The following is a 25,898-nucleotide window of genomic DNA, read 5'->3' on the forward strand; positions in this document are numbered from 1 at the left end:
ACCTCGCGTCTTCCCACCGCGTCGGAGGACGTAGGCGCCTGGGATCCTGGAAGGCGGCCAGCCTCTGCAGCCGGGCCCAGCGGCTCCTGAGACTGGGGCGGACCTCACACCTGACCCCGGAGCGGCTAATCCTGCCCAACCGTCCCACCTGCCACGTGCCCTCGGGGCTGGAACGCGGCGCCCCGGGAGAGGCCTGCTGGTCAGGGGGCGCTGGTGCGCAGGCGCGCGGGGCCGCCGTCGCAGCTACCTTCCTGCGCCGATTCGGAGAGGGCCCCCTAATCTCTACTCGGCCCGCACCAGCAGCGCTGGCGTCAGGGCGCGGTGGGGGCAAGACGGGTGACTGGCAGCAGGGCGGTGCCGGGCCGAGAAGGGCGCCTCACCTGGCGCCTCCTGCCTTCCTTTCCACCTCAGGTTGCAGAGAGCCGCCAGGGCAGGTGGAAGGGCCACGCCCCGCTCCCGTGAGGGTCACCGAGAGACGTTGGGGGTGGGGCAGGGACCCCAACCCTAGACCAGGTAGGGGGCGGGCGAAGATTGGTGGTACCTTCAGGTAAGAGGGAGCGGGGAGCGCCCCCTCGGCTTGGGGTGCCAGAGGTGTGCGGCGGGAGCGCCTTTTTTCGTGGGGCCCTCGCCCTGCAGGGCGGAGGCGGCATTGCGTTGGCCTTAGTTCCTAGTCCTGGTTCCCGAGGAGCCCCTGAAGGCTTCGGATGGGAAGTTTGCGTTGGAGTCCAACACCCGACAGGAACCCCAGTTAACGCCTCCGCATGGCCAGGGGCAGAGTTCTTGACACCTGTAGCTTAATCAACGCAGGTGGAGATTCAGGGCTTGAATCGCCCGGCCACGCGCAAGCCGCAGGGCACCCTCATACTACTACTTCTGCCTTATTACCCTTAAAACTGGAGTCTCAGTTATTTGTATCCCACTATTGGTTTTTTTTTAAATCTTTTTTCGTGGGTTTGCCCCCTTTTCCTCAGCTGCGTTTCTGTCTTCAGTCCTGTAGGGCACAATGTCTGAACAAGAGCGTATACAGGAATGTCTGCGGAAGGAAATAAGGTCACTTCTCATTTCCACCAAAGATGGTTTGAGCCCACAGGAGTTGGAGAAGGAGTACCTTTTGATGGTTGGCAACCATCTACCACTCCGAATCCTTGGGTATCGGTCCACTATGGAGCTGGTATTGGACATGCCTGATGTTGTTCGTGTCTGCCCCGGTGCAGGTGGTACTGTAATACTGAAAGGTAGGTTTAAGATTTTTGAAGGTCTATAAACTTTGTAATAAAAACAATTGCTTAGTAAATAATTATTCTAGTTCTGCAGTTATTATGCATCCCAGCCAGTGGATTTTAATTTGGTGGGGGAGGGAGACTCATAGGTGCTTTTGAGGTTGTGGGCAAAATTGGAACCTCTGCAAAATTAACAAACCATTCCCCCAAACAATCGTGCACTCACAAAAGCTACATTTTTACATATGATTTCAGGTTCTTGCACCTTAAGTCGAGAGAAACAAAAAAAGGACTTCTTAATTATAAAAACATGTTTTAAATTTCGTGAAGCACAAGAAAAAACTATTGTAGGGAAGTTTGCAGTTCATCCCAAGAGTTTCAAAAAATCTGTCAGGGGTCAATTAGTTGTAATGATAATACATTGAGTTAACTTTTCTTCAGCTGGCAGGAGAGCTAGCAAGCTGTTGCCCAAAATGCAAGAAATCGAGGAACCAAGAGTTACTGTTTATCGTGCTGCCTGGATAAACAGCTCCTTGGAGAGTTAAAAACTGTATAAACACAGATACTAAGGATAAAGAAGGGAGTAAGTTTTCCTCCTAAATATGATTTCTATTTTTCACGTCTCAGCCATTCCAGATGAATCTACCAAAGGAATAGCAAGCTTAGTTGCAAAACAGAGGAGCAGCCATAAGCTTCGAAACTCAATGCATAAGGGAAGACCTAGTATTTATTCTGGACCGAGATCTCATCGGCGAGTACCTTACCGAGGAAGGGTTGCCCCTATTCTTCCAGCTGTTGTGAAGAGTGAGTTGAAGGACCTGTTGGCGTTATCTCCTGTTCTTCTTTCTGATTTTGAAAAGGCATTTGCCAAAAGATTTGGACGATCATTCCAATACATGCAATATGGATTTCTCTCTATGTTTGAAGTGCTTAATGCGGCTTCAGATGTCATTTCTGTAGAGCAGACCAGAGCAGGTTCTTTGTTGATGCTAAAGAAGAGTGTAACAGAGGAAAAGCCGAGAGGATGTCCAGCAGGTACGCATGTGAGCAAATGTTGGAGCAGTCATGGCACATAGAGGGGTGTGTAATCACTAAGGTCTATGAGTTCGTTAGAGTTGAAGCCTGGCTCTACTACTTGCCAGCTGAGTGGTCTCAGGCGAACTGTTCAATCTACTTAAGCCTTAGTTTTCCTCATCTTTAAAATAGAAATAACAGTATTTCCCTCTCAGGGTTGTGTTGAGGACCTTACATGAGGTGAGTTCTGTAAAATCTCTGGCATTTAGTAAGCTGATAATAAGTGGTAGCTATTATTATTTTAAAAACTACAAGATCAGCTCTCTCTAGAACACTGTAAATGAACTTTACATGAATGTGTTCATATAAATAAGCTATATGGAAAATGAAAAGTTAAAATACTTAAATTATTAGCCTTAACCCTTCTAATCTTTGCCATCACTGGGGCTTATCCTAGGAGACACTTTGGTAACTTTTGTGGTGTAATAATAACCACCTTATCTGTATAGCATTTTACCTTGCATTCTCATTACCATACTAGGTAGGGTAAGTAACTGTGTCTTATAGATAGGGAGATCAAAGCTAAGGAAAATTAAATGGCTTTTCTAAAGTCACATGGCTGGAAAAGTGGTACAGCTAGAGTTAGATACCCAGCTCTTATTGCTGCCCATCCAGTGAATTTCTGCCCAAATGCTGTGTCTATTAAAGGCTCAAGAGACCAGTGTGACCATCTGGGTAGTATCTCCCTTGACAATGTACAGTTTACACACTGAGCATAGGCGGAGCCTACTTGGGAGAATTCTATGCTTATTTCAGTGATTTTCTTTTTCTCCAACTTCTGCATTTAGATTAACATAGGTGAACCAAGAGGATGTGTCACAAGTTTATAAACCAATATTTACACTGTGGTAGGTGATGTAGTTTGAGGATATGAGGATATACTTGGATAGGGAAGGCTCTGGAGGCCACTAAGTGTTTCAAGTCTAGCCCTCAACTTTATCAGTATTCTTGAAGTCCTAAAACTTGGGAAGACTAACTCATACTATTACACTTGCAAGAGATTGAGTTGTAGAAAGCACTTTACCAATTTATTGAATAGTGGGGGGTGAATATTCCTTTCCAGTGATTTTGTTCATGTTCTCCATCCATGGTTCCTACTTCTGTCATCAGGATATCTTGAAGTCAACTGTTGTTTTTTTGTTTTTTGTTTTTGTTTTTTTTTGGTGAACTTGACCTTAGGGTAAAGGAAGAGCTAGGCTGTGGTGAAGTCTGGTGATGTATCTTTCATGTCATGCAACAGAATACACCTCTCCAGTGGTATTCCCCCTTCCTACAAATCTTGAAGAATTTATATTTTATATTTTATTCTGTAGCTTTTCATCCTCCCAGAACTGTGGTACTACTACTAGTGGTTATCCAGTTTGAAAAGCATAGTGCTAAGCAGGCTCCTTGGAGACTTTTTTGTCTCCTAAATGGGATACAGCTTTTTACATATTGAATCCCACCTCTCTATAATTAGATTCAGGTGACCTTAAGTGGACTTTTAGATAGCCCCAAGCTTTTGGTAACACTTAATGATCTCTGTCTTCCTCTATGGATGACTAATAACTTACACTATATGTAAGTTTTGGCTTGATGTAAAAATGTCAGCTTTCTTTTCTTAATTTTTGCTTCTAAGTTGAAGGCAGTTAGCTCACAGTAGCCTCTGTATGTAGCCACCGGAAAATGAAATAGAAGTTGCTAGTGACAATTTTTCTTTCTTCTTCTATTACTCACAAAAGGTAAAATTTTTACCCAGCCATTTAGAATGAAACAAGGGTCATACTCCACAGGCTTTCCGGTAGCAAAGCCATGCTTTTCACAACCCACTTCAAACATGGAACCACCGAAGCAAATAATGAGCATGGAAAAGACTTCCAAGTTAAATGTAGTGGAGACTTCAAGACTGAATCACACTGAAAAATTAAACCAGGTGAGAGATAAGAATTTGGAGATATAAATATACGATGTTTTTAAATTCAGTGGTGTTAACACTTTGATCTGATGGAAAAGTTGACCTTTTAAAAACTGAAGTCATTCACTTATTTCAAATTTGACTAAGCATTTCCTATGGTTCTGTAGATTAGTAAGAAGTGAGAAGTGGAGTGAAAGAAGAGTACAATTTTATCAACTCCACAGTTTCCACTATTTTCTGCAAATGACTCCCAACTCCCAAATCTGTATCTCTAGTTCCAGTTCCTCACCAAAGTTACAGAAGCATATTTGCAATTTACCTCACAAATATCTTCTGAATGGCTGTCCCTGAGCATAATAATCCTGGTATTTTTCTGTGACTGTAATGCTGAAGGACTTTGAATAAAAACTATTAGAATATAACCAATAAATGCCTGACTAAATCATCATGTTAACAACTTAAGTTAGAGCTCAGAATGAGCACGTGGAAATTAAGTTCAAAACATGAAAATGCCTGATTTCTACTAAAATTAGCTTTAGTAACATAATTTACATGTAGTAAAATTTACTCATTTTAAGTGCACAGTTCGAGTTTTGATTAATATATAATTATACAATCACCATCAAAATAAAAAACAGAACATTTCCATCATCCCCAAAAAAGCTCCTTCATGCCACTTTGTAGTTTCTTTCCCCAACTGCAGCCACAGACAACCACTGCTTTCTATGATTTTGGCTTTCCAGGAATTTCATATAAATGGAATCAAACAATATCTAATCTTTTGTGTTTGGCTTCTTTAACTTAGTAGAATACTTCTGAGGTTTATCCAAGATGTATATATCAGTAATTTGTTCCTTTTTCTTGTTTAGTGTTAGTCCATTATACAGATACACGTAAATTTGTTATACCTTCCCCATTAGATGACATTTGGGTTATTTCCTCTTTGGTCCTTTACTTATAAAGCCACTGTCATTATTTGCATACATCTTGTATGGCCATAGTTCATTTCTCTTGTGTAAATACCTGGGGGTTGGATTACTGCATCATATAGTAAGTGTATGTTGATAAGAAATTACCATTGTTTTCCAAAGTGGCTGTATGACTTTCCTTTCCCATTAGATATGTATGAGAGTTGTAGTTGTTACACATCTTTGTTAACATTTGGGATTGTCAGTTTTAAAAATATTAGCCATTTGAGTGGGTGTGTAGTGCTATCTCATGGTTTTAAGTTGGATCATAATAATCTAATGATAATGTTGAGCATCTTTTCACATGCGTGTTTGCCATTTGTATTTCCTTTTTGAAGTGTCTATTCAAATATTTTGCCCATTTTATAAAACTGTGTTGTCATTGTATTGAATTGGAAAAATTTACATATTCTAGATGTAAGTCCTTATCAGAGGCGTGTTTTGTAAATATTTTCTCCTGGCCGATGTTTGCTTCTTCATTTCCTTAATCCTGTCTGTTGTGGAAAAGTCTTTAATTTTGATACAGTCTAATTTATTCATATTTTTCTTTCTTTTCTTTTTTTCTTTTTTTTTTTTTTTTTGATAGGGAGTCTCACCTTGTCACCCAGGCTGGAGTGCAATGGTGCGATCTCGGCTCACTGCAACTTCCGTCTCCCGGGCTCAAGTGATTCTCCTGCCTCAGCCTCCTGAGTAGCTGGGATTACAGGCGTCAGCCACCACACCTGGCTAATTTTTGTATTTTTATTAGAGACAGGGTTTCACCATGTTGGTCAGGCCGGTCTTGAACTCCTGACCTCAGGATCTGCCTGCCTCAGCTTCCCAAAGTGCTGGGATTGCAGATGTGAGCCACCACGCCTGGCCCATATTTTTCTTTTATTCTTGCCTATCTAATGGATTTTAATCGAAGTTACAAGTTTTTCTCCTACGTTTTTCTTGAAGTTTTATGTTTTCAGTTCTTATATTTAGGTATATTATCCATTTCAAGCCAGATTTGCCTAAGGTACCAGGCATGGATCAAAGTTTTCTGCATATAGACAGTTATTCCTTATTAATTTGGCACCTCCATTCACCTCACACATGTGTAGTTCTATTTTGAGACTCTGTTCAGGTCCATTTATCTACATTTCTGTTTTTGCCAATACTGTACTATCTTTATTCCTGTAGCTTTATAATATCTTTGTCATATATAGTCCTGTGTCAATGACAGGGATATGATCTGAGAAGTGTGTTGTTAGGTGATTTTATCATTGTATGATCATCATAGAATGCAGTTACATAAACCTAGGTGGTATATAGCCTACTACACACCTAGGCTATATGGTATAGCCTATTGCTCATAGGCTACAAACCATTATAGCATGTTATTGGACTGAATGCTGTAGGCAGTTGTAACACAACGGGGTATTTGTGTATCTAAACATAGAAAAGGTACAGAAAAAATACAGTATTATAATCTTGTGGGACCACCATCATACAGGTGGTCTATTGTTGACCATAAGTCATAATGCAGCCCATGACTGTAGTTAAGTCTTGCAACTTTGTTATTTTTCAAAAGTGCTTTGGATATTCTAGGTTTGCATTTGCAGATACATTTAATTTGATACAAATCAACTTGTCAGTTTCTGCCAGAAATAAATAAGATTGTGATCTTCATTAGAATCACATTGGATCTATAGATATGTTTGGGGGGAAAATGACATCTTAACAGTATCAAGTCTGCTGATTCAAAAGCATGGTATATCTTCATTTATTTAGGTCTTTACATTCTCTCAGCAATGTTTTATAGTTTTCAATGCATAAAGCTTGCGCATATTTTGTTAAACTTATCCTTTACACCTTTCATATTTTTTAGCTATTATAAATGGTATTTAAAATTTCTAATCATTGCTAATAGAAAATCAATTGGTTTTTTTTTTTTTGGGTATGTTGACCTTGTATCCTGTGACCTTGAGTCATGGTACTTGATAAACTCAGTTCTGTAATTCAAATCATTCTAGCAGCTATTTTGTAGAGTTTGGATTTTCTGCATAGACCGTCATGCCATCTGAGAGTAAAGACAGTTTTACTTCCTCCTTTTCAATCTATCTGCCTTTCCTCCAACCCTTACCACACAGTGTAGGCTCTCTAGTATTATATAATATTATATAAATGTGAGAGTGGAAAATCTTGACTTGTTCCTAACTATATGGGGAAAATATTCAGTCTTTCATAATTATGATATTAACTGTAGCTTTTTAGATGCCTTTTATCAGGTTGAGAAAATTCCCTCCTATTCCTAGTTTCTCAGAATTTTTTTCCTGAATGTATGTTGAATTTTGTCATGTTCTTTCTCCATACATTGAAATTATTATAGGACTTTTGTTTTTTAAAAATTTCTTTTCTTGGTTTTATATTCAGCCAACCTTATATTTCTGGATGAATCCTGCTTGGTCATCATATAGTATCCTTTTTATATGTTGCTACCTTCAGTTTGCTAATATTTTAAGGGTTTTGCATTTATGTTTATAAGATATATTCTGTAGTTTTCTTGTAATGCTTTTATCTGGTTTTGGAATCATTTTAATACAGGCCTCTTGTGAAAGGAGTTGGGAAGTTTTTTTCCACCTCTTTATTCTGAAAGAGTTTGTGTAGCATTGGTATTTGTTTTTCTTAAATATTTCATAGGATTTATCAGTGAACCAAATTGGAGCTTTCTTTGCAGAAAGGTTTTAAACAACAAATTCAGTTTCTTTAACAGATATAGGGCTATTTTGTATTTTATGCTTTCTTTTTTTTTTTTTAAATGAGCCTTGGTACCTTGTCTTTCGAGGTGCTGTCCATTTCATCTAGGTTGTCAAATTTATTGAAATAAAGTTGTTCATAATGTTCTCCCAGTAACATTTTAAGGTCTTTAGGGTCTGTGATGCTTGCTCTTTATCTGTCTCTATCTCTCTCATACACATATCAGTCTCACTAAAGATTTATTCACTTATACACAGTCATGCACCACATAATGACACTTGTGTCAACAAGACTGCATGTGCAACAGTAGTTCCACAAAATTATAACAGAACTGGAAAATTCCTGCCACCTGGTGGTGATGTAGCTGTTGTAACAACATAGTGCAATGCAACACTTACATTTGTGGTGACAGTCATATATATAGCACAATTATGTACAATACATAATAGTTGATAATGACAATCAACAACCATGTTATGGGTTTGTGTTTTTACTGTACTTTGTACCATTATTTTAGAGTGCACTCCTTACTAAAAAAATTAATTGTAAAACAGCTTCAGGCATTTCCTTCAGGAAGTATTCCAGAAGGAAGGCATTGTTATCATAGGTGATGACAGCTCCATGCATATTATTGTCCCTGAACACCTTACCACATGACAAGATAAATTTAGTATAGCCTAAGTGTATGATGTTTATAAAGTCTACAGTAGTGTACAATAATGTCCTAGGCCTACACATTCACCACCCACTCACCCAGAGCAACGTACAACCCTGCAAGCTCCATTTATGGTAAGTACTTTATACAGATGTGCCATTTTATCTTTTATACTGTATTTTTACTGTACCTCTTGTGTTTAGATACACAAATGCTACTGTGTTACAGTTACCTATAGTATTCAGTACAGTAACATGCTGTACAGGTTTGTAGCCTAGGAGCAATAAGCTGTACCATATATCCTAGGTGTGTAGTAAGGTTATACCATCTAGGTCTGTGTTACGTACATTCTATGTTTGTACAACAATGAAATCACCTAATAATGCATTTCTCAGAATGTATCCCCATTGTTAAAAGATGCATGGCTGTATTTTTCAAAGAACAAGTTTTTAGTTTTGATAATTTTTTTTATTTTTCCACTTTTTATTTCATTGATTTCTGTTCTCATTGTTTTGTAACTTCTGTTTACTTTGGGTTAATTTCCTCTTTGCTCTTAAGGTAGAAGTTTGGTCATTGATTTTGCTCCCTTTTTAATGTAAACATTTAAGGTTATAAATTTCTTCTAAGTATTGCTATAGCTACATCTCCCAAACTTTGATATGAAATTCAAATTTGATAGGAAAACTCATTTTCAGGTCAAAATTTACTAATCTCCCTTTTGGTTTTTTCTTTGTATCATGGATTATTTAGAAGTGTGTTGTTTAATATCCAAATATTTGGGGATTTTTTTCAGAGATGTTTCTGTTCGAATTTCATTGTGGTCCAACAACATAGATTTCATTCCTTATATATTTATTGAGACTCATATGGCTCAGAATATGTTTATCTAGGTAAATGTTTCATAATTCACTTCAAAAGAATATGTATTTTGCTATATTTGAGTATAATATTCTATAAATGTCAATTAAGTCAGTTATGTCATTGATTTCTTTTTAACTTTTTTAATGAACTACTGAGGGAGGAGTATTGAAATTTTCAAACATAATTATAGATTTGTCTATTTTACCTTTTAGTTCAGTTGGTTTATGGTTTGGCTATTTTGTTTTTTGGGTTTTTGTTTGTTTGTTTTATTATTTTCCACAGGTGGTTGAGGTACAGGTGGTATTTGGTTACATGAGTAAATTCTTTAGTGGTAATTTGTGATATTTTGGTGCCCCCATCACCCAAGCAGTATACACTGCACCCTATTTGTAGTCTTTTATCCCTCACCCCCTTCCTACCCTTCCCCTCATGTCCCCAAAGTCTTTGTATCATTCTTATGCCTAGGCGTCCTCATAGCTTAGTTCCCACATATCAGTGAAAACATGATGTTTAGTTTTCCATTCCTGAGTTACTTCACTCAGAATAATAGTCTCCAGTCTCATCAAGGTCACAGCAAATGCCACTGATTCATTCCTTTTTTATGGCTGAGTAGTATTCCATTGTATATAGATACCATAGTTTCTTTATTCACTTGTTGATTGATGGGCATTTGGGTTGGTTCCATGATTTTGCAATTGCAATTTGTGCTGCTATAAATGTGCATCTGCAAGTATCTTTTTCGTATAATGATTCCTCTGGGTAGATACCCAGTAGTGGGATTGCTGGATCAACTGGTAGTTCTACTTTCAGTTCCTTTTGAGATGGAGTCTTGCTCTGTCGCCCAGGCTGGAGTGCAGTGGCACAATCTTGGCTCACTGCAGCCTCCATCTCCTGGGTTCAAGCAGTTCTCCTGTCTCAGCCTCCCGAGTAGCTGGGACTACAGGCACACGCCATCACGCCCAGGTAATTTTTTGTATTTTAGTAGATATGGGGTTTCACCATGTTGTCCAGGCTGGTTGTGAACTCCTGAGCTCAGGCAGTCCACCCACCTCGGCCTCCCAAAGTGCTGGGATTACAGGCATAAGCCACCGTACCTGGCCTACTTTTAGTTCTTTAAGGAATCTCCACAGTGTTTTCCTTAGCAGCTATACTAGTTTACATTCCCACCAGCAGCATAGAAGTGTTCCCTGTTAACCGCATTCATGCCAACATCTGTTTTTTGATTTTTTGATGATGGCCATTCTTGCAGGAGTAAGGTAGTATCTCATTGTGGTTTTGATTTGCATTTCCCTGATCATTAGTGATGTTGAGCATTTCTTCATATGTTTGTTGGCCATTTGTATATCTTCTTTTGAGAATTGTCAATTCATGTCCTTAGCCCACTTCTTGATGGGATTGCTTGTTTTTTTTCTTACTGATGGGTTTTTGGTCATGAAATCCTTGCCTAAGCCAATGTCTAGAAGGGTTTTTCCAATGTTATCTTCTAGAATTTTTATAGTTTCAGGTCTTAGGTTTAAGTCCTTAATCCATCTTGAGTTGATTTTTGTGTAAGGTGAGAGATGAGGATCCAGTTTCATTCTCCTACATGCGGCTAGCCAATTATCCCAGCACCATTTGTTTAAAAGGGTGTCCTTTCCCCACTTTATATTTTTGTTTGTTTTGTCAAAGATCAGTTGGCTGTAAGTATTTGGGTTTATTTCTGGGTTCTCTATTCTGTTCCATTGGTCTATGTGCTTATTTTTATACCAGTAGCATGCTTTTTTGTTGACTATAGCCTTATAGTATAGTTTGAAATAAGGTAGTGTTATGCTTCCAGATTTGTTCTTTTTGCTTAGTCTTGCTTTGGCTATGCGGGCTCTTTTTTGGTTCCATATGAATTTTAGAATTGTTTTTTCTAATTCTGTGAAGAATGATAGTGATATTATGATGGGGATTCCGTTGAATTTGTAGGTTGCTTTTGGCAGTATGGTCATTTTCACAATATTGATTCTATCCATCCATGAGCATGGGATGTGTTTCCATTTGTTTGTTTCATCTATAATTTCTTTCAGCAGTGTTTTGTAGTTTTCCTTGTAGAGGTCTTTTGCCTCCTCGGTTAGGTATATTCCTAAGTATTTTGTTATTTTTGCAGCTATTGTGAAGGGGTTGAGTTCTTGATTTGACTCTCCGCTTGGTCACTTTTGGTGTATAGAAGGGCTACTGATTTGTGTACATTAATCTTGTATCTGGAAACTTTGCTTAACTCTTTTATCAGCTCTAGGATCTTTCTGGAGGAGTCTTTAGGGTTTTCAAGGTAAATGATCATATTGTCAGCAAACAATGACAATTTGACTTTCTCTTTACTGATTTGGATGTCCTTTATTTATTTTTCTTGTCTGATTGCTCTGGCTAGGACTTTCAGTACTATGTTGAAGAGGAGTGGTGAGAGTGGGCATCTTTGTCATCTTCCAGCTCTCAGAGGGAATGCTTTCAACTTTACCCATCCAGTATTATGTTGGCTGTGGGTTTGTCATAGATGGCTTTTATTACATTGAGCTATGTCCCTTGTGTACCGATTTTGCTGAGAGTTTTAATCATAAAGCAATGCTGGATTTTGTTGAATGCTTTTTCTGCATCTATTGAGTTGATCATGTGATTTTTGTTTTTAATTCTGTTTATGTGGTGTATCACATTTATTGACTTGCATATGTTAAACCATCCCTGCCTCCCTGGTATGAAACTCACTTGATCATGGTGGATTATCTTTTTGATATGTTGTTGCATTTGGTTAGCTAGTATTTTTGTTAAGGATTTTAGCATCTATGTTTATCAGGGATATCGATCTGTAGTTTTCTTTTTTTGTTATGTCCTTTCATGATTTTGGTATTAGGGTGATGCTGGTTTTATAGAATGAATTAGGGAGGCTTCCCTCTTTCTCTAGCTTGTGGAATAGTGTCAAAAGGATTGGTACCAATTCTTCTTTGAATGTCTATTAGAATTCTGCTGTGAATCTGTCTTCTCCTGGACTTTTTTTTGTTGGTAATTTTTAAATTACCATTTCAATTTCACTGTTTATTATTGGCTGTTCAGGGTATCCAATTCTTCCTGACTTAAGCTAGGCAGGTTGTATTTTTCCAGGAATTTATCCATGTCTTCTAGGTTTTCTAGTTTATGTGCATAAAGGTGTTTGTAGTAGCCTTGAATAATCTTTTGTATCTCAGTGGTGTCAGTTATAATATCTCCTGTTTCATTTCTTGATGAGGTTATTTGGATTTTCTCTCTTCTCTTCTTGGTTTATTTTTCTAATGGTCTATTAATTTTATTTATCTTTTCAAAGAACCAGCTTTTTGCTTCATGTATCTTTTGTATTTTTTTGTTGTTGTTAATTTCATTTAGTTCTGCTCTGATCTTGGTTATTTCCTTTCTTCTGCTGGGTTTGGGTTTGGTTTGTTTTTGTTTCTCTAGTTCCTTGAGGTATGACCTTAGAATGTCAGTTTGTGCTCTTTCAGCCTTTTTGATGTAGGCGTTTAGGGCTATGAAGTTTCCTCTTAGCACCACCTTTGCTGTATCCCAGAGTTTTTGATAGACCGTGTCATTATTGTCATTGAGTTTGAAGAATTTTTTAATTTCCATCTTGATTTCATTTTTGACCCAATGATCATTCAGGAGCAGGTAATTTTCCATGTATTTGCATGGTTTTTAAGGTTCCTTTTGGAGTTGATTTCCAGTTTTATTCCTCTGTTGTCTGAAAAAGTGCTTGATATAATTTCAATTTTCTTAAATGTATTGAGGCTCGTTTTATGGCCTATTATATGGTCTATCTTGGAGAAAGTTCCATGCCCTGTTAAATAAAATGTGTATTCTGCAGTTGTTGGATGAAATGTTCTGTATATATCTGTTAAGTCCATTTGTTCCTAGGTATAGTTTAAATCCATTGTGTCTTTAACTTTCTGTCTTGATGACCTGTCTACTGCTGTCAGTGGAGTATTGAGGTCCTCCACTATTATTGTGTTGCTGTCTATCTCATTTCTTAGGTCTATTAGTAATTGTTTTATAAATTTGGGAGCTCCAGTGTTAGGTGCATATATGTTTAGGATTGTGATATTTTCCTGTTGGACAAGGCCCTTTACCATTATATAATGTCCCTCTTTGTCTCTTTTAACTGCTGTTGCTTTAAAGTTTGTTTTGTCTGATATAAGAATACTTACCCTTGCTTGCTTTTGGTGTCCATTTGCATGAAATGCCTTTTCCACCCCTTTACTTTAAGTTATGTGAGTCCTTATGTGTTAGGTGAGTCTCCTGAAGGCAGCAGATAGTTGGTTGTGGAATTCTTATCCATTCTGCAGTTCTGTATCTTTTAAGTGGAGCATTTAGGCCATTTGCATTCGATGTTAGTTTTGAGATGTGAGGTACTATTGCATTAATCCTGCTATTTGTTGCATTCATCTTGCAACAATGAGGTCTCTCAGCCGTGAATACCAGCACCTGTTCAGGAGGAGGTGGGGGGTAGGAGGGTTTGCTCTTGGTGTTGTACATTCTGCAGGTTTTGACAAATATGTAATGACATATATCCACTATTGTAGTGTCATACTGAATAGTTGCACTCCCCTAAAAGTCCTCTGTGCTTGCGCCTGTTCATCTGTCTCGTCTCTTAATCCCATGGTAACCACTGATCTTTTTACTGTCACTATAGTTTTGCTTTTTCCAGAGAGTCATATAGTTGGACTTCTACAGCATGTAGCCTTTCAGATTGGGTTCTTTCACTTAGTAATATGCATTTAAGGTTCCTTTATGTCTTTTCATGGCTTTATAATGCATTTCTTCTTGGCACTGAGTAATATTCCATTGTCTGGTACCACAGTTTATCCACTTGTACTGAAGGACGTCTTGCTTGTTTCCTCATAAAGTTGCTATAAACGTGTGTGGGTTTTTTGTGTGGATAGCAGTTTTCAATTCATTTGGGTAAATACTAAGGAGTACAGTTGCTAAATTGTCAGATAAAGATATGTTTGTTTTTATAGGAAACTGCTAAACTGCCTTCCAAAGTGGTGGTACCATTTTGCATTCTCACCAGTGATGAGTGAATGTTTCTGTTGTTCCCCATTGCTGGTCAGCATTTGGTGTTGCTAGTGTTTTAGATTTTGGCCATTCTAATACTGTATAGTGATATTTTATTGCTGTTTTAATTTGAAATCCCCTCATGACATGATATTGAACATCTTTTCATATGCTTACTTGCCATCTGGTATATCTTCTTTAGTGAGAGGTCTGTTCAGGTATTTTGCCCATTTTTTAAAAATTGGATTGTTTCTTATTGCTGAGTTTTAAGAGTTCTTTGTTTTGTTTTGTTTTTAATAATAGTCTTTTATCAGATGTGTCTTGCAAATATTTTCTTCTATTCTGTGGCTTATTTCTCAATCTTTTGACTTGTCTTACAGAGAAGTAGTTTTTAATCTTAAGACCAGGCAATCAATTATTTCTTTCATGTATTGTGCCTTTGGTGTTGTTTCTAGAAACTCATCGCCTTATCCAAAGTCAGCTAGTGTTATCTTATGTTATCTTCAAAGAGTTTTATAGTTTTGAATTTCACATTTAGGTCTATGATCCATTTTAAGTTAATGTTTGTGAAGGGTGTAAGGTCTAGATATGTGTGTGTGGGGTCGTTTTTGTGGGTTTTTTTGCAAGTGGATGTTCAATTCTAGTACCATTTGTGAAAAGACTATGTTTGATTCATTGGTTGCTTTTGCTCCTTTATCAAAGATCAGTTCACTGTATTTATGTGAGTCTATGTCTAGGTTCTCTAGTCTGTTCCACTGGTCTATTTGTTCTTTCACCAGTACCACACTATTTGGTTACTGTAGCTTTTTCAATAAGTCTTGAAGTTGGGTAGTGTCAATCCTCTGGCTTTATTCTTCAATATTTTGTTGGCTATTCTGGATCTTTTGCCTCCTATATAAACTTCAGAATCAGTTTGTTGATATTCACAAAATTACTTGCTGAGATTTTGTTTGGGATTGAATAGAATCTATAAATCAAGTTGGGAAGAGCTAACATCTGGACAATATTGAGTTTTTCTATCCATGAACATGGAATAATTATCCGTTTATTTCTTCTTTGATATCTTTCATCAGAGTTTTGTAGTATTCCTCATACAGATCTTGTACATATTTTTTTAGATTTATACTTAAGTATTATATTTGGGGGAGTGCTAATGTAAATAGTATTTTTTAAATTTCAAATTTCACTTATTACTGGAATATAGGAAAATGATTGACTTTTGTACATTAACCTTGCATCCTGCAACCTTGCTATAATTGCTAATTAGTTCCAGGAGTTTTTAAAAAATTCTGTCCTATTTTCTACATAGATGATGTGATCTGTGAATAAAGGACAGTTTTATTTCTTCCTTCCCAGTCTGTTTGTTTCATTTCCTTTTCTTGACTTACTGCATTTGCTAGGACTCCAGCAAGATGTTGCAAAGCAGTGGGAGGGAACACTCTTTGCCTTGTACCTGGTTAAGTGTTTTTTTTAGGATTCCACTTTATCTTTTTTATTATCTATATTTTTCTGTTTTATATTTTTAGTGGATGCCTTAGGGTTTTCAACCTATATTTTTAACTTATCACAATTGACCTGCATATAATATTATAACATTTCATATAAAATGTAAGAACCTCGGGACAGTAAATTTACATTTCCCCTCTTCCATCCTTTGTGCTCTTATTGTGATACATTTTAGTTCTCATTTTATATACCTCTTAATACATTGTTATTTTTGCTTAGAAAATGTTTAAGGTAAATAGAAATATTTATTTTAATACTAAAATATTAAAAACATAAAAGTCAAATTTTAAGAGATTAAAAATGAAAAAAACTTGTTTACTTACACTTATTTCTGATGCTCTCCAATTCTTTCTGTTTAAATTTCTCTCCAGTATAATTTTCTTTCTGCTTGGAAAATTTTAACATATCCTGTAAGATAAATCTGCTAGTGGTGTATATTCTTAGCTTTTATTCATCTGAAAAAGTCTATTTGTCATTTTCATTTTGAAATATTATTTTTCCAGGTATAGAATTCTATCTGGTGTGATAGTTTTTGCCCCCTTTTAGTGCTTCAGAGATGTTATTCCATTTTTTTGTCTTCGTAGTTTCTGACAATGTCTGTAATAATTCTTATCTTTGTTCTGTACATAATGTGTTTTTTCCCTCTGATGCTTTCAGGATTTTCTCTTTGTTTGGTTTTCCACAGTTTGATTGTAGTATCCCTTGTTGTACTTTTCTTTATTTTTTTTCTGCATGAGATTCATTGAGCTTCTTATATCATTGAGCTTCTTGTATGTGGGTTTATAATTTTCATGAAATCTAGAAATTTTGTCTTCAAATATTTTTCTCTCCTCTTTTGGAGTACAATCACATCTATTTTAGACTGCTTGTTATTTTCTTGCAGGTCACTGACACTCTTTCATTACAATTCTCTTTTTTCCCCACTGTGTGCTTCATTTTATATAGTTTCAATTGCTGTCTTCAAACTGGTTAATCTTTTCTCCAGAATGTAACCTAATTCCATCCAGATTATTTTTCATTCAGATGTTGCATTTTTAATCTTCAGGTATTCCACGTGGGTCTTTTTAATATACTCATTTCTTCTATTCATTATGTTAATAATTTCTTTATGGACATAAGCATATGTATAAGGTTTGTAATAACTGTTTTAGAGGGCTTGTCTAGTTTTATTATCTGTGCCATTTCTGTTTTTTTTTTCCTATTGATTTTTTTCCCTAACATGATCATATTCTACCACTTCACATGGCTGGTAACTTCTGACTGGATGCTAGACCATTGTGAATATTTCATTGTTGGGCTTTACATATAAATTACTTTGACTCAATTTGATCATTTTGAGTTTTTCTTTTAAGCTGTATTAGAGTGGGTATTATAGACTTAATTATGTTCTCCCTATATTTATATATTTAAGCCCCAGCCTCCAATATGATGATATTAGGAGATGGGGTCTTTAGGAAGTAATTAAAGTTAGATTAGGTTATGAAGGTGGGGTCCTTATGATGGGATGAATAGCTTATAAGAAGAGACACTAGAGAGTTTGCTCTCTCCACGGGAACACCCTGAGAAAAGGCCATATAAGTACACAGCAAGAAGGTGGCCATCAAAGAGAGTGCTCACCAGGAACCAAATTGGGTAGTACAGGTCAAATATCCCTTATCTGAAATGCTTGGTTGAGTATCCCTTATCTGAATATTTGCATGTACATAATGAGATATCTTGGAGATGGGATCCCAGTCTAAATATGAAATTCATATATGTTTCATATATACCTTATACACATAAGCTGAAGGCAATTTTATACAATATTTTAGATAATTTTGTGCATGAAACAAAGTCTTGACTGTGTTTTGACTGTGACTCATCACATAAAGTCAGGTATGGGATTTTCCACTTGTGGCATCGTGTTGGCATTGAAAGATTGGGATTTGGGAGCATTTCAAATTTCAGATTTTTGGATTTGTGATGTTCAACCTATGCCTTAATCTTGGACTTCCCAGCCTCCAGAACTGTAAGAAAAATTCTGTCATTTAAGCCACCCAGTCTATGGTATTTTGTTATGGCAGCCTGAGCAGACCAAGACCTGCAGGTCCAGAACAGCCTTCAATCTAGGGCTAATTTAGCCCCACCACTGAAGCATTACCTTTCTAAGGATTGACTCAATGTATTACGAAGTACTCCTACTGTTCCTAGCCCTGTGTGAGTTTGGAGTATTGTTCAGCCTGTTGCTTCTTGTTTGTTTCTCCAGCCTCAAAGAACTTCTCTCCACTTGCGCAAATCAGTACTCATCTAGAAACTTAAGGGAGTTCCTCTGCAGATCTCTAGAGCTATTTCTGTGTCACTCCTCCTTTTCCATATTCAATCCTGCAAATTTTAGCATCCTCATCATCTCAGAATCTGTCTCCTCAATTCATCTAGACTGCCAGGCTGTTTCTGTTACTTCTTCCTACACCATATCCTGAAAGCTCTCCAGACTGTAAGGTGGGCAGGGTGTAGGAGGGGTGGGTTCAAGGCTCACCTCTCAGTTCTGCATTGTTATTCAACAGCTCTAAATTGTTGTTTCATACATTTTCCCAATTTTCTAGTTATTTATGGCAGGAGAGTGGGAGCCATAACTTTTATTTTAAATGGTGAAAGTAATTCTTAATACAGAAAACTCAGCCTAAAAAGAGTTATAGTCTTACTACCAAGAAAGAGTGTTCATTTATGTTGCTTTCTTAGTAATTTTCCTATTTTTAGATTATTTTGATTTCTTTTGACATTTCCTGTGCCAAAGAAGCCTGAAACCAGCCTGTTTTTCTTCCTTTGTAGGTAAGCTGGCTAACTGCATGCTTGTCAAATTCTTTTTCTTTGAAATTCAGAAAGATTATCATGAATTGTTCAGTTATTTCTCATTCTTTTCATCAAAGAAAGTCTTCATTTTTTAAAATGGCTTTTGTTAAATTGACCTCCAGAAAAGTATCAATATATGTTTCAACTCAGAGTGTGGTAGTGTCTTTTTTTTCCATACTTTCTAATTATATAACTCTTAGGATTCTGTGTGGTTATTAACTCAAATGTCAATCCTTGAAAGATGGTTAAGTACAAAAATTTTTTCTCATCAAAAAGCTAAACATAGAGTCTGATTGTTTCACATCCATTTTTGGTTACTGACAAAGTTGATTTTTTTTAGTCAGCCATTTTTATTACTTTTAAGTTACTTTTAAATTCATTTTAATGTTTTTTAAGACGGGTCTCCCCTGGTTAGTCTCCTTTCAGACTTTTTTTCTATTTTTTTCCTGAAAGTTTAGAATTGTTTTTGTAAGTTCCAAAATTTCAATGAGATTTCTTAGAATTAAGTTTAAAATTTTTGAAGAGACTTCATGCATTTCATTAAGTGTATTCATTCATTGACATGTTGTAGTTGTCTATTTATTCAAGTATTAATCTTATGCCTTTCATTGCAGATATTTAGTTTTCTTTATTAGAGTTTGGCACATTTCTCGAAATTGTATTCTTAGATATTGTATGTTGTGATACTTTTTTTTTTTTTGATGGAGCCTTGCTCTGTCACCCAGACTGGAATGCAGTGGTGTGATCTCAGCTCACTGCAACCTCCTGGGTTCAAGCTATTCTGCTGCCTCAGCCATCCAAGTAGCTGGAATTACAGGGGTTGCCACCATACTTGGCTAATTTTGGTATTTTTTGGTAGAGATGGGGTTTCATCATGTTGGCCAGGTTGGTCTCGAATTCCTGACCTTGAATGTCTGCCTCGGCCTCCCAAAGTGCTGGGATTATAGGTATGAGCCATCATGCCTGGCTAGTTGTGATACTGTTTTTGCCATTAAGACTGGAACTCTAAGTGTTCATGGTTCAGAAAGAAAGAAATTGACTATTAAATATTATTTTGAAACTACCTTAGCAAACTTGGTTGTTTCAATAGTTTTCCCATAGGTTTTCCAAGTAGACTACCCTACCATTTATGAACAGTAGATTTGCTGTGCCCTTTTCAGTATTTAAAGTTCTTATTTCCATTTTCTAAATTTATTGTGCTGACTAAAAGTTCCAAAAAAAATTAATTATAATGTATATTTCTTTTTTCAGAAACTTCCCACTCTATAGAATTTAGCAGGAAGACTCTGCCTTTTAACTGTGAGAGCCAGGCAATAACGAATGCAGAGTTGAGGACATTTGCTCATGGCATGGCTCCAAGTTGAGGAGTGAGAGAGATGCAGATACACTTTCTTCTATCTTTTCTTTGAGTTTCATCCTGAGTTTTGCAGCTCTAATAATTCCTCATAGATGCAGCCTAATAACCACATTTCACTTCCAGTTGAAGTTTTTGCCACCAGAACAATTTAAATCTTGTTCTGAGAGGGGGTGTGGGTTCTAATTCCCAAACTATGTATTTTAATTTATGGTAGGACAAACACTACAAAATTATCAGACCTCACATAATCCTATTTACAAAAAGTGCAACTTTCCATTTCTTCAAAACTGTAGATCTATTAGTTTGTTAGGTGTTCCCTCAAAACTCTACAAGTTTGTGTTTTTATGTGCATAGAAAAATATATTACAAAATTAAAGTGTAAACTTTTTTCTTTTTGATCATCTGTATCTTTTGTTCTTCCAAAGTGAACATGCATCATTTTTGTCACAAGAAAATATTATTAAAATGAAGAAAAAAAAGTTTTTCCTTTGTAAAATGAGGATCAGAATGTCTTCACTTTCCTCTTGCAAGAGAAACAGGCTGGCTTGGCCTTTTGTATCCCACCCCTGCCCATTGCTTTATTTCACAAAGCAATGTGTTAGAACAGTTTAAAGCCTCTTTTGAAAGGCGTTCAATTTTCTTTATTTTGACTTCTTGAGAGGGAATTTAGAGGAGAAATGAACATTTTAATGGGTGAATAGCATATGAATTTAGCTATATTTTCTAGTGGGTGAAGCCTCAGATGCTGTGTCCAGCCCAGGTCATCAGAATTTTCTGCATTGTGTGTAGTTCTAGACCACAGATTACGTTGCTTTCTATTAATAGGTATTTACCTTTAAGAGTAGCAATTTGTCAAGGAACAGAGATCTGGCATTTCTAGGATCTCTAGTCTTAATACCATTTAAGAGTACATCATCCTGCCAGGTGCAGTGGCTCATGCCTGTAATCCTAGCACTTTGGGAGGCGGAGGTGGGTGGATCATTTGAGGTCAGGAGTTCAAGACCAGCCTGGGCAACATGGTGAAACCCCATGTCTACTAAAAATACAAGAATTAGCTGGGGTGTGGTGGCACATGCCTGTAGTCCCAGCTACTCAGGAGGCTGAGGTAGGAGAATCTCTTGAACCCAGGAGGCAGAGGTTGCAGTGAGCCGAGACTGTGCCATTGCACTGCAGCCTGGGTGACAGAGTGAGACTTTGTCTCAAAAAAAAAAAAAAAAAAAAAGAGTACCCCATTCTACCTATTCCCTGCCCCCTCTGTCTTACAGATTCAAGACCTTATTGTAACATTCACCATGAGATTAAGGTAGATAAACTTGGACTTATAAATAAATATCTTCTCATCTAAATGAAATCAGGGTGGTCTTAGTTTGCACCTAACTTTTAATTTGCACCTAAACAATTGATAGTTTTTACATGAATTAGATGCTTTGCTTGGCATTGCATATAAGAGGTGAAACATTTTATTTCACCTGATAACCTGACTCAACTGTAGTTCAAGAGTATCCTTCATAAATAATTGGATATATTAACAATTATCAGAAGGAGCTATTCAGTGGGTTAATTAATGCAGTTCTCTGGGGGTTATATTCTCTGGCCAACTTAGAGTAGCTTTTCTGTAGCTGTTTTCCCACAAGTTCAGATGAAGTATTTAGTATGGCAAATCAAATTCCATACTGCCTGGCTTTAGTCAAATAAGTCAGACCCTACATAATCCTATTTATAGGGTCTTAGTTCTGGCTGCTATAACAAGCTACCGCAAACTGGGTGGCTTGTAAACAACAAATATTTATTTTTCAACATTCTTGGAAGCATGGATTTTTCAACATCTTGAAGTCAAAGATCATGGCTCTGGCATATAAGGTGTCCAGTGAGATCCTTCTTCCTCATTCATAGATAGAGGTCTTTCATTGTGTCCCCACAATGCAAAAGGGGCAAGGGATCTCGCCAAGGCCTCTCTAATAGGGGCACTAATCCCATTCATGGGGGCCTTTCCCTCATGATCTAATCAGCTCCCAAAGGCTCCACCTCCTAATACTATCACCTTGGGGGTTAGGATTTCAACTTAGGGATTTGGGGAGTGGGGAGTAGAGAGGGATACATCTATACTATAGCATATACCTAACAAATATTTAAGCAGCTGAAAGCATTGGTGCTGTATGTTTCTGTGCCAGTTTTGTGATCTTTGTAAGAAATGTATTAATGTTTTCCCATATGGCCAAAAGGTCTGAAGTATATTCATCTGAGATGTGACTTCTGTTTCTTTCTGCTTTTAGCCATGTGCATCCTCTTTCCAAAGTGCTTTCATCATTAGATAATGTTTCTAAATTATCCAGGTGTCTGTTTTTAAATTTTTTTATTACAAAAGTAATATAGATTGATTACAGAAAACTTGAAATACAGAAAAGCACAAAAGAAAATAAAGATCACCTGTGTACTCTTATCACATGAAAATTTGACTTAAAAAATTAAAATCATTCTGGTTCTTAGTTTGTGACCTGCTTTTTTTCCTCTTATGCATTGCGAATGTGCCACATTACTAAATATTCTAATGCAACATAATTTTAAATGATGGTATCAATGTGCCATGATTTTAAATGATGGTGTGAATGTGCCATAATTTTAAATGATGATATGAATGTGCCATAATTTGACTTGTAGCCTAAGTTGGGCATTTGCTCTATTTTCAGTTTTTGCTATTAAAAATAACCTTATGATGAAAATCTTGCTCAAGTATGCACACATCTCTGTTACTCCACAGGATAAATTTCTAGAAGAGCCATCATTGATTGAAAGGAATGTTTACTTTTATGGCTTATCTTGTATGTGGCTAGGTTGTCATCCATAAGAATTGTTTCAGTTGACACTCACATAGATTGTGTGTGTGCTCCTTTCCTTGTACCTTTGCTGGTACTCAGTACAAATGGAGTTTCCTTCAGAGATCCCTCCCCACCCACCTGCATTTCCTTTCTGATACCTTCAGGTGTATTATCCTTTTGTGACACTCGGGGGAGGGGGGGTTTAAAAATATTTTTAATTGATGAGTAAAAATTTTATATATGGTGCACAACTTGATGTTTCGATGTATGTATACATTGTGGAATGGCTAAATCAAGCTGTTTGACATGTATTACCTCACATACTTGTCATTTTTTGTGATGAGAACACTTAAAATTTACTCTTAATTTTCAAATACACAATATATTGTTAAGTGTAGTCAACATGATACACAATAGATCTTTTGAACTTACTCCTCCTAACTGAAAGTTTGTGTCCTTTGGCCAATGTCTTCTCAATCCTCCCACCCCTCAGTGTCTGGTAACCACGATTTTACTCTGTGTCTACAAGTTTGACTTTTATGCACTTCCCATATAAGTAAGATCATGTGGACTCTGGGTTTTTTCATTATAATAATTGTAATTACATATATATATGATCGATTCAGGTCTATCTCTGCAAGTTCCATGAGGACAGGGACCATATCTAGCTTATTTACCTCTGTATATCCAGCACTTAATACGGTGTACAGCACATAGTATGATCTCAATACCTATTTGTTGAATGAGTAAGTGGGTATTTTTAAAATTTTATAATTTGATGGGCAAATAACTGTCTCTGTTAACGTGTATGTATTTGAGGTTGAACTTTATGCTTTAATTTGCTACTTAGTCTTCTATTTTATTGCCTATTCATGTTTTGATTCATTTTTCTGAAGAGTATATCTTTTTGATTGAAAGCTCTTTCTCTTCTGAGGTCCTATAAGCTCCTATCTGAATATAGCATATTTTATCACTTTCCATCTTCATTTTCTAGTTCTATCTCATTCGCTTGGTTTATTCCCCATTCTTCATGTTTGATGTATAGCATCTGACACTAAAAGCGTTGTTGAAATCACTGATTACCTCCCAATCTTACTTTTCCATTCCACATTATAACTTCTGCCCTCTATAATTATAGATATCCCTAACTTTTCCTGGGCTTTAAAAAATCTCCACTGCATTCAGTTTAAAGTCACCTTAATTTAGACATTTTGCTTGAGGTAAACTTTTTTTTTTTTTTAACTTTTTTCAGAAGCATTCTATTCCTAGCTAAAAGCTCATCATTTTGCTATCTTAAACCTGAGATTGGCAAATATGTTCTCTAACAGATTACATAGTAAATATTTGAGGCTTTGCAGGCTAAATATTCTCTGCTTTTACTAAACATTGTCCTTATAGCACTAGGGCAGCCATAGGCAATATATGAATGAGTGAATATGGCTGTGTTCTAATAAAACTATGGACACTGAAATTTGAATTTCATATAATTTTCACATGTCACAAATAATACCTTTTCCCACAGCCATTTAAAAATATAACCATTCTTAGCTTATGGGAAGCACAAAAAGAGGCCATAATTTGCTGACCTTTGTCATAAGCCATGATCCAGAGAGACACATCAAGTCTGTAATCACCATCCTGCCATTTACCTCCCAGTTTTCCAAGCTTTTATAATTGATTAAAAAACAACAAAAGCCTACCTCTTTGTTCCACGGTACTTTTGTTTCCTACATAGAACTTGAGGTCCTTGAGGCTGTTTCTCTGGTCTCATCATTCATCCCTGTAGAATCAGTGATTCCTTCCTCTCCATTGTCTTTCCTAATTTCTCTGGATTCCACCTTTGTCATATCCCTTCTTTTTCTATTCTCTCCCAGCACCCCAGTTAAAACTCTTGCCTAGAGAGTTGCAGTGGTTTCCTAACTGGTTGTCCACCCATCCAATCTAATTTTCTGTTGCCAGATTACAGTTCTGATAATCTGTCTCCCTTGCTAAAAATCTCTAGTATCAGTATCTCTGTTTTTGCTTGTATAACCAAGAAAAACTCCTTAGCTTGGCATTTAAGGTATTCTGTAATAGGACATTAATCCACCTTTCTAGTTTTTCTTTCACTATTTCCCTAATGCCTTAGGCAAACTATTTTATTCAATTTTCTTTATGAAGTTCCTTCTACCTTCAATGTTCTCTCTACCATGTCTGTCTGCAGAATTCTCTCCATCCTGCAAGATCCTTATAAAAGGAAGCCTTCTGGCACTTACAGCCTTAGGTTATAGATGTTTATGCGTTGATCTCACTTCCCTACTTAATTTTAAGTGCCCTGAGAGGAATTACACCATCAAAGGTAATCTTTTTTTGTCCCTGAAACACCTAGCACAGTGATAATTTAATACATTATTGTTATTGAATCTGCAAATGGGAGGAACCTTCGGATGGAAAGATCAGTTATATTTAGAAAGATTATCTTACTGTTCACTGGGAGAGCTTTAGGAAATTATCTCATGGCAACTACAGAAGAAATGTAAAGAATCTAAGACTAAGGGCTAGGTACCTTTTGTTAAAGCTAACGATATAATCATAGGTATCTAATCCTCTCCTTCCCAGACCCATGGAAATGCCCAAGAAAATGTGAAAATAGGGGAAAACCCTCATAAACTTGATAGGGAGCCATGTACTTGCCAAAACTTGGAGGGGCTTCTGCTGAATGCTGTGCCAATGGTATTGGATGAAAAGAAGAGTAGTCAGTTCCAGAGGGAGAATCCTGCCATGTAAGCGCTGCTTGCCAGAGGAGCAGGCAAGGGTCATGCTCACACCATGTGCCAGGCATTATGTTATGCACTCTTCGTGCCTCATCACATTTAGTTTTCTTGTCAGCCTTGTGAGAGATGGAGATTATCTTCATTTTTCAGGTGAAGAAACTGAGACCTAAAAGGTTACACAGTTTGTAAGTAATGTCAGGCCAAGTA

The 25,898-nt window shown here is 36.9% G+C and overlaps 1 protein-coding gene across 11 annotated transcripts in view, besides 1 other annotated feature; it reads left to right on the plus strand.

Annotated features, from left to right (window-relative positions):
- TDRD5 (tudor domain containing 5) overlaps window positions 1-25,898 on the plus strand; it is a 99,660-nt gene continuing 73,762 nt past the window's right edge. For 2 of the 11 annotated variants that reach the window (XM_047447750.1, NM_001349923.1), the window contains exons 1-4: window positions 1-213; window positions 990-1,235; window positions 1,848-2,255; window positions 4,016-4,206. In XM_047447750.1, coding sequence (XP_047303706.1) covers window positions 1,004-1,235; window positions 1,848-2,255; window positions 4,016-4,206 — 831 coding nt within the window. In that variant the 5' untranslated portion in view covers window positions 1-213; window positions 990-1,003. The other 9 variants (XM_005244934.2, XM_047447752.1, NM_001199085.3 and 6 more) reach the window with 6 other exon arrangements.
- Window positions 7,119-7,178: an enhancer, noted in NCBI's record as "active region_2152". NCBI's record gives its function as "activates an Ori minimal core promoter by ATAC-STARR-seq in GM12878 lymphoblastoid cells {active_cell/tissue: GM12878}" and the evidence as "EXISTENCE:reporter gene assay evidence [ECO:0000049][PMID:35858748]".

This window comes from Homo sapiens, chromosome 1, assembly GCF_000001405.40.
Source record: "Homo sapiens chromosome 1, GRCh38.p14 Primary Assembly".
NCBI classification, from domain to species: domain Eukaryota; kingdom Metazoa; phylum Chordata; class Mammalia; order Primates; family Hominidae; genus Homo; species Homo sapiens.